Source organism: Homo sapiens, chromosome 14 (genome assembly GCF_000001405.40).
Source record: "Homo sapiens chromosome 14, GRCh38.p14 Primary Assembly".
Taxonomy (NCBI): domain Eukaryota; kingdom Metazoa; phylum Chordata; class Mammalia; order Primates; family Hominidae; genus Homo; species Homo sapiens.
The window spans coordinates 97,300,662-97,310,512 of NC_000014.9; the positions used below are offsets into that span (position 1 = coordinate 97,300,662).

The following is a 9,851-nucleotide window of genomic DNA, read 5'->3' on the forward strand; positions in this document are numbered from 1 at the left end:
ATTTCTCTCTCCATCTCTCTCCCTTGATTTCTAATTTCCAAGCCCGCGAGCTATTACAGAAAGCATAATGACGGTTACACTTGTCTATAGCAATATTGCTGTCTAGCTTATTGCTTTGTAAAGTACTTCGGGAGCCTTGAAAATGAAAGGTGTTATGTAAAATGAAAATCGATTCTAATTCTAAATAAACATCATTGCTTCAAGTTTCCCTTGGATAGCATTGTTTCTTGCTCAGGAAAGACAATGGCTCAGAATTTCCTCCTAATGTTTAAAAGATGTATTTGGGCATGCCAGTGTCTTGGGGCTTGTCACGACAGGGCAAGGTCTGAATCATATCTCAATATATCCTTACAATTGTATTTAATTGCACCTGGTAAAATGTGTCTTTGTTCATTATTTATGAAGGGAAATTATTTTTGTCCATAGGAAAGATTGATACCACTTTTAGCTTATGTTCAGGTGATTAGCGATTAAGTACAATTTATTTCCCTGATATATGTCTCTATCAGCAACGACCATTCAGAAATGGGGAAAGAAACATTCTCTCAGCAGAAAAACAATCTCCACTTTAGGAAGCTGTTTCCTCCTCCTTCGCTGGTAGAGCAATTTACAAGGACATGCGAGCCACAAAAATGGAAGTTTGAATCATTTCTGTGCAGAAAGCTCATCATCCCAAATCAGAAATGTCATAAAAGTTAAAATGCCATAAGAGTGTGTTCCCCAAGAAAGAAATAATTTTCTTTTCATTGAGAACACACTGGAGGACATAATATACTTCTTGAAATTCAAATTTTCATAGCAAATGCGATTTATCCCTCCCTTGCATGGTTCATCTTTCTTTAAGAAAAAGCAACTGAATATTATCCCTATTTTATATTTTTCCGCAAAATTATCTTCCAAGTGCTTGTTTCCTTAAAAACATGCATACGGGATGGGGAAAAGGAACAATTTCATCCTTGGGAAAGTACATAGGAAACTTCCAGCACTGGGAAGTACCAACGAGTTGGCTTGAATTTGCTGTGATAACTCAATCATAAGTCCATTTGCATCCACAGAAAGACCCAGGATGCCTGTGGGACTCATGGCCTCAATTCATTTTTTTTCCCTCTTTCAATTTTATGTCTGGTTAAGTAATCTGAAGTGTCTGCCAGTAGTTCAGGCCCTGCAAATGCTCTGAATATAAAAAGCTGAATAAAGGTGTCAGTGTTTGAATATGAATGTATTGCTAATACCTGTGCCCCTCTATCAAATAGGCTTTCTCATATACAGACCCAAAATATTATTATTTTTTCCTCCTTAAAAAGCTCTCCTTGTCCAATCAGTCATGTTTGAGCCTGTTAACTGGGTGACAAAATTGCTGGAGATTGATAGACTGTCATTGGATGTGTGGAAGGAACTTACAGTGGTGTAGACATGGCCCTGGATTTGGAGTGAAAGGCAGGGGGAGTAGCACGTTGGGGACAGGCGCTATTAGCACACAAAGCCAGCAGAGGCCACGTAGAGCTCTTACAGCAAGTCAAAGCCTCCCTGAGCCTCAATTTTCTTATCTTTAAAATGAGAGAGGTGACTCTCCCTGGAAGGGCTGAGTGGGAATACAGAAAATATATAGAAAGAAGAGCCTATGGTATGCAGGATTGACAACATTGATGACAGCATATGATATGGGCAGAGTCTGAGCCCAGCAGTATTTCCTGGAACTTCCCAACAGACCCTCAGGGCACATGTGTGATACCTAGTTGTCCTCCACGTGTTGACTCCCTCCTGTGTCAGAGCTTTTACCCCTGTTGTTCCCCTGAACTGGCATTTCTCCCAAGTGGCAGAGGCCACTCTTTGATTCTCCTTTCTTAGTAACAGGCTGTCAATTTTTACCTGGGCACATTGCCCTCCAGAGTACAAAGCAACATGTTACAGCCTTTCTTGCAATATATATGGCCAATGATATTTGAGGAGACACATAGAAAAGCCATGTAAAGGCCACTGGCTCAAGCTCAGAGGGAATGAGCTCCCCTGATTCTCTTCTCTGTGGGCCTGGAACTCTTCTATGATGGCTGGAGTTCCAGCATCCATGTGGACCATAAGGTGACATTATATGAAGATGGCAGTAGAAACAGCTAGTAGCCAATGATCTAGTGGTTGGCTTACAGCTGGATTTCTCATATATGAAAGAATGTACTTTTGCATGTTTAAGTCACTATGGCAAGGAATTTGTTTCTGGTAGCTGAACACAATCTTTTCTGTTTGTTTTTGTTTGTTTGTTTTGTTTTGTTTTGTTTTTGAGACGGAGTTTCACTCTGTCACCAGGCTGGAGTGCAGTGGTGTGATCTCAGCTCACTGCAACCTCCATCTCCCAGGTTCAAGTGATTCTCCTGCCTCAGCCTCCTGAGTAGCTGGGACTACAGGCGCGCACCACCATGCCCAGGTAATTTTTGTGTTTTTAGTAGAGACAAGTTTTCACCATGTTGGCCAGGATACTCTCTATCTTTTGATCTTGTGATCTGCCCGCCTCAGTCTCCCAAAGGGCTGGGATTACAGGCATAAGCCACCAGGCCTGGCTGCTGAACACAATCTTAAGTAGTATTTCTTCCATATCCAAGTTATTTAAAGCCTGTTTCAAGTCCTTTCTTTTTCATGAAGTCCTCCCAGGTGACTCTAGAACCACTGTGATCTACATCTCCGAATTCTCACAATACTGGAATACGGTCTATGACTTTATTCTTCTCTCATTGCCTAGGTTTCTTATTCCTGGGCTCCCAGTGAAATATCAAGATCTTCAGGGACAGAGGCCCTGTCTTAAAACTCATTTTATCACCCATAGTATTTAAGAATGTTGAGAACCAAACAATTTCTCTATGATGAAAGAAAATGTATTGAGAACTTGAAATATGCCTATATGTTACCTCATACTATCCCACTGCCCCCAATATCTAGTTGAGAAAACTGAGGCTTAGAGACTTACGACATGGCCAAAGCCACATAGCTTCTAAGTGGCAAAGTAGGATTCTATTCCAGGCTTACTGAAGTCCAAGCACCACACCATCGCCTGTATACACATGGAGTGACTTAAAAGAAAATCACACTTGTTTCTATTTTGTTCCTGGTTATGATTTTTACAAGTTTATTGCAGAAATTTTAGAAAAATACATAATAATATGAAGAAAACAAATTAAAATCATCTTATGATATTCCACCATCTAAACATCACTGTTAACATATTACTTTTTTTCCTCCAGTATATGTAACCTGTGAATCAGATAGTAAATATTCCTTCCCAAGTAGTTACTGTTGCAATCATATTTTATATAATAATAGCTAGCAGTTATAAATTACTATCTGTCAGATACTATTCTATATGCTTTATGAAAATTACTTCACACAGTTCTTACAATAACTCTAGGAGATAGATTCTATTATCTCCCCTACTTTCAGATGAGAAAACTTAGGTGAAGAGAGGGAGAATAATTTGCTCGAGTTCACAATAGCAAATAAATAACAGAGTCAAGAAACACATGCCACAAGCAGGGACTGGGCTCTGGAATCCACACTTCTGAGGACTAAACTATACAAATTCTTCAGTACTACATGTTGCATCTCCTTTTTTTAAACATAAATCTTAAGATCGGCTTCACAGTCTACCATAAATATGTGCCATACTTTTCCTGGCCATTCCTTCTGGTTGGACATAGAGGGTGTTTCCATTGTGTCACTATTATTAAAAATGATCACCTTTGTACATAGGTATCATTGTCTGAATGTCAAATTATTTCCTTGGGAAAGATCTTAAGGAATAAAATTATGAAGTAAACAGTCTGCATATTGTTTATCATTATCCCAACATTGAAATATCTGGAAGCATAGAATCACAAAACACAATTTGAAAGAGATCTTCCAGGTCATCTAGTTTCACCCGCTCATTACAAGTGTGGAAGCTAAGGTTCAGGGTGAGCAAGGGACTTGCCCAAAGTCACACATGAATTCTGACACCGAAGTACTTTCCTTCCTACTTGACATTCTTTCCAAGACTGTACCTTTTGTTCCTATAATAGCTGACTTTGCAATCAACCCTATGTCTCTTTCTATAAAAGGACCTTCTTTCATAAAACAAATAGTGATAGAGTGTCGATCACATTGCTGTCACTGTGCTAGGCACAAATTCACATGTGAATTCTCATCTTCTACTTCCTAGGGCAGTAGGGAGAGCTAAGATGTCAAAATGTCAAGAGTAGACATTGAGGCCTTTCCCCCTTGCCTTGGCCCTGGTTGTGACCACTGCAACACCATTCTTTCTACTACTTGGGCTTGACTGCCATCTCCATGACCTCTTCCTCTGATACGCTCCTCTGCCCAGTCTTCTCACCCCAGATCCCAACATCAGGACTTCTCTCTTATTACTGTTAATGTAAACTTTACTTCCTTTTTATTGTATTAAAGCAATGCAAGTTCATTGTGAAAACAGAAATACTTACCACTTACCGGATGCTAACTGAAGGGCTGGAAGCCATGAAATCCTAGAGAAAGAAAGAGGACTAAAACAAAGCCCCTTCCCTCAAGGAGCTCCAATCAATGAGGAAGCCAAAAATAAAGACATTTACAGTGTAATGTCACAAATGCTATTAGAGGTCTGCACAGGATCCTAAGAAAATAGAGAACAGGGACACTGAACACAGACAGGGGGAGTCAGAAAGTCTTCTTTCTTCCATTTCTAATATTTTTTCATTTATAAATGTATCAATATATCTACTCTTCCATCCAATAATAGTTTATTGAACATTTATTGGGTACTAGGTATTATCCTGGAAATACAGTTGCAGAACTTGGGCTGAAGCCCACGTTTTCTGTCACCAGGTCCCATGGTATTTGTTCTTGCTGTTGTACGGTGCTGTTATAATCCTTTAAAACAAAACAAGGAAACTGAATGGGTTTTGGTATTGCATCCACCCAGGTGGAGTAAAGTCAGTAACTCAGCATGATGAAAGCACACACCAGGCTCATTAATCAAATACTCTGGTTAATAGAGAGTTCTCATATATGCCATGCATGAATTACCAGTTTTCAAAGAATTATAATACAACAAAATATACTGGAACCATACAGCTCATAATTGAATCTGCTTTCGATGTGACAGAAGTCACCTGAAGGGCTGTGTTTAAGAGCCATCAACTTTGGAATGTCATACGTGCATAAGGCAAGCCAGTGCAAAATTAACAGCTCTTGGCTCTTACTAACCTGCTGTTTTTGAAAATAGAAAACTCAAACCCACTAAAAAACAAGAATAGGTATACCTTAACCAAATCTGCCATATAAAAAGGGAGGGAAAAATATACCTCACAATTGCAAGCACAAATATATCTTAACATTATTTTCAAATAACCAAAGCCCTTATGTGTGTATTTAGGGGCATGCTTAGAAAATGTATGTTCCATGGTGGAGGTTACTGAAGGACATTTGACAATCCAGAAGGTTTTTTTTTTTTTAGAGAAAGTCTTTGTTTTTTAGGTTTTATTGCAAGTTGCCTTTAATTGTAGTTGGGTTTAATAGACATGCTGGTTAGGGGGTTCTGGTATTGTCTAAACTCTTGAAGACCTGGGGATGCTGGGATGTCTGAGAAGCACACAGGCTGGTGTGGATGGATGCTCTGAGTCAGCAGTGCCCAGTTTATGTTTCATGAGCAAAAAGCTTCCCAGGCTGGGTGAATTTGGATACCACATCACAGAGTTCCCCTTTGGGGGACTCCAGTGCATGTTAGTCTAGTAAAGCCTCTGATAAGTCCTGTAGCAGAGAATCCCATTTTACTTCCCTTAGCTCAGAGTTTCTCAAGAATTCTGTTTTATCACCTTGGGGAGTAAGTATTCTGACAAATATGTTTTGGGTTGCTGGCCCAAACCCATCTGTTGTGAGGATATCTGGCTTGCTGTCTTCCAGCTGAGGGGGTTCAGAAACTGTCAACCATTCTTTCTTTCGTTATTCAGCATGCATGCTCTGAACACCTGGTCTGCATCTTGGAGAGTTCAGATGATTCTTTACGTGGAAGCCTAAGGCCTGGAACAGCTATAGTGTGGGTTCTGATGCCGTAGATAGAACTACTTTAATAAGTTATAAGTAATGTTTAATAATTGTATATTTGAAACAACAGCAAATGAAATCCTGGCCCTTAATGTAGATTGCATGCTTTATTCTGGGAAATAAACCTAGCCTTTCCTTTCTGGTATTAGATGAGTCATCTGTTCATACAAAAGAGCTTGAAATTGTTTTGAATCTAGAATGTAACCATGGCTCATTCTCTGAGGTTTAGAGAAGTCAACAGAGTTCAGTACTGATTTTTTATTTTGCAAAATGAATGAGCTTCCAACGCTTCTTAATTGTGACTTGCTGAGTCTCTCACGACTTTCTGGAGGAACTGCTCCCTTCCTCATACCCACGTGAGATAAAAGCTTGTTTTTCTCATCTAGTGAATCATTTGAGATGAGAAAGTGAAGACATTCATGAGGACAGGTGTCAGCAGCACTTGGAAGAGAAGCTGATGCCACTTGCAAACCCACTAGAGAGAAAGCGCTGGAAGAACAGGCCCTGCCTGCCTTCTTCATGCTTCATCCTCGGCACCTGGGACAGTGCCGGGTGCTGTAAACTTTCAATGAGCATTTATTAAATTAGTGAGTGAATGAATGAACAAACAAACAAATTAATGAAACAGTGATTCTTCAAAAAGCTCTGACTATGGGAGTGTGTAGTAAGAAAGGCAGAGATAGCAGTTTCTGGATTAGGTGTTGCCACAATAAAGCTGCATAGCAAGCCACCCCATAACTCAGTGGGTGACACTCACCAAGCATTTATTTGTTTTATTCCTTGGTTTGTAGATCAGCTGGCATGCGGAGAGGGATCTTGTTACCTTGTTATCAGGCTTTGGGTTGACTGGGCCTGGCTTTGAGCTTCAGGTGTGTCCAGAACTGTCACATGTCTGTCATTCTCCTTGGACCAGTGGCCAAGGGCATGTTCTCCTGGCCCTTGGCATGAGTTCAAATGCCAAACTAACTCACATCCTAGAGGCCTCTATGTAAGGTATGTCTTCTAACATTCCATTAGCCAAAGCAAATCACATGACCAAGCCCCAAATCATTGGGTTGGAGAAGCGTCGTGGTGGGGGCCGGGGGAAGAAGAGAGGATATCAACAGAGCAATAATGCTACCACAAATGCATGTTTTTCAACATGTATTTCTCTAAAGTTGGTAGAGAACGATCTCAAAACAGGTTTCAAGCTTTCTGGTGGTCAAAGGGAAGGAGGAAACATGTTCAGGTATTGAATTCCCAGTGACCTCACACACATAAGCTGGGACTGCCATGTATTCAGAAGGTTCTAGAGAAATAAGCACTCAGCCATCATTTTGTCTCATCATTGGCAGCATTTTCTGAGGACCCAGTGTGCATGCCTTTGGGCTGGATGCTAGCGGCATGTCGACCCTTCCATTCCCCTGACCCCTCACAGCACCCCCTGCAATTGCCTTAAGCAGTGAAGCTGTGACACTGTCCACGAGAGCTGTCTCACAGATCCATAAGGAGCATTGTTGAGTCCATAGCTTCTGCCCCACTGGAAAGCTCTTTTATTCAGGTCCAAGCTAGAACTCCATCTTCCTGCCAAGTCAGACATATCAGCAGTCTCTGCAGAGTGGCAGAGGCTCTGGGGCTTTCTCAGAGACCAGGAGCAAAGAGCCCTGTTTCCCTGATGGCAGCATCTTCAGGATTAGTAGAAAAGTGGAAAGGGGGACCAAGAGATTCAGGGCTAGAGAAATACCATGTGCACACTGAGCAGCAGAAGTCTGAACTTAAAGCAACTGTGGTCAGAATGACTGAGAATTACTTAAAAGTATGGCTCTATACCCCTGTGCAAAATAACGCACACAGGGTGCACTTGAGTGAGGTTGCATGCATAAAGAGTTGGGTTCATTACCTGGCACAGGGGTAAAGTCTTAATCAAAGGTTTCTTTATAAAACCAAAATTGCCGAGAGAAAGGTGCTCCCAGGCCCAGCAGAGAAAGGGTTTCATTAATAGCATTTGGGTAGAGTGGTGAGCAAAGACTAGAACCTAGGGAGCGAGGGATTGTAATTGTTGAATAGGGAGTTCTGCTGGAGGCTTTCGGGTCATTTTTCTGAGGATGTTTCACTGATTCCCTCTGCCTCTTTCATGAAAGCTTGGCCGAGATCATCCTTTAAAGATGAGAAGAGGAGCAAGACTCAGTGGACCCACTGTCTCCTGGGGTCAGGATGTGGGTGCCTGGAATGGGCGTAGCAGCAAGCCTTAGCAAAATGACTGTCCTTGATCACGGGCTGCTCTGGGCAACTCCCCAGGTTCTTCATAACCTGTTACCTAATTTGTGAATTACGTTTCAATGTGTTTGTCTCCACACTAAGGCCAGGACTGCATTTCATTTGTTTTTGTACCACCACATCCAGCATGGTCCCTGGTGCTGCCCAGGTATTCATGACTTTTTATCAAATATGGAATGAAAAATCCAGCAGGGAAAGAGTCACATCTTTTTTTTTTTTTTGAGACGGAGTCTCACTCTGTCACCAAGCTGGAGTGCAGTGGCATGATCTCGGCTCACTGCAAGCTCCACCTCCTGGGTTCATGCCATTCTCCTGCCTCAGCCTCCCGAGTAGCTGGGACTACTGGCGCCTGCCACCACGACCGGCTAATTTGTTGTATTTTTAGTACAGACGGGGTTTCACTGTGTTAGCCAGGATGGTCTCAATCTCGTGATCTCGTGATCCACCCTCCTCGGCCTCCCACAGTGCTGGGATTACAGGCGTGAGCCACCGCGCCCGGCCAAAGAGTCACATCTTGCCTTCCTGCACAGGTTTATCTCCCTTTAATTTATCTCCCACATTCTAGCCAGGATGACTAGGAAGTTAGGCCACCTTTAAAGAGCTTGTGCATTAGTCATGAGACTTTGGACAGATCACACAACTTTTTTAGACCTTAGTTTCTTCATCAGTAAAATATGGAGGCCAGGGACTGCTGTAATCAGTAAACGTAATGAAGCGTGCACAGTGCCTGGCACGTGACAAGAACTCAACACACCAGCACTCCTCGTGCCTTTAAAGCAACATACTAGTCTTGCACTGCCTCTCTTGAAACCCTTTCTGTTTATCTGCTGGAAATGGCTTCTTCTCCAATAATATATCTTCTCAGAAACCTTCCTTGATACTATCTCCCCTACATTTCAGCTTACTAGACCCTCTCTCTCTTGCTTCCACAGACCAGTGAAAGACGTTGCTGGTTGTCTATCTAATATCCATTTTTTGTTCACCTTTTATTGAAAACTGAGTTCTTCAGACCCTCTTGCAGCTAAGGGTGATCATGTGACAAGAGTTCTTGTCGGTGCAGACAGAGTTTCTGGCAGGGTGTCCCTCCTTTGACCTTTTTCATTCCCCTTTCTTTCTTCCTGGAATGCAGGTGGAAGATCTGTAGGTGAGGCAGCCTTCTTGCAACCAAGAGGCAAAATGCATGAGAACGGAAACTCACACATGAAGAATGACCTAGTAGAGGGTAGAAAGACAGCTGGATTCTTTAGGGTAGTACCAAGTCACTGTCCTATGCCTGGGTGGCCTGTTGGCAGACTTCATTTTTTAATAATTTTCAGCTGATTGTATTCTTGACTGATATGAATGTTCATTTATATCTGTATAGTCACCGTTAATCTCAGACTGCCAATATCTATTCATGTTTCAGTTACCCCAACTAGGTTGTGAGGGGCTGACAGGCACAAAACTTGCCTTATTCATCTTTGTCTTTGGCACAGAATGATGTTAAATAAATGCTGTTTGTCAAGAGAATTGGATTCCTGGACATCAAGGTTCAT

The 9,851-nt window shown here is 41.8% G+C and overlaps 1 annotated feature.

The window, feature by feature from the left end:
* Positions 5,843-5,912: an enhancer, noted in NCBI's record as "active region_8994". NCBI's record gives its function as "activates an Ori minimal core promoter by ATAC-STARR-seq in GM12878 lymphoblastoid cells {active_cell/tissue: GM12878}" and the evidence as "EXISTENCE:reporter gene assay evidence [ECO:0000049][PMID:35858748]".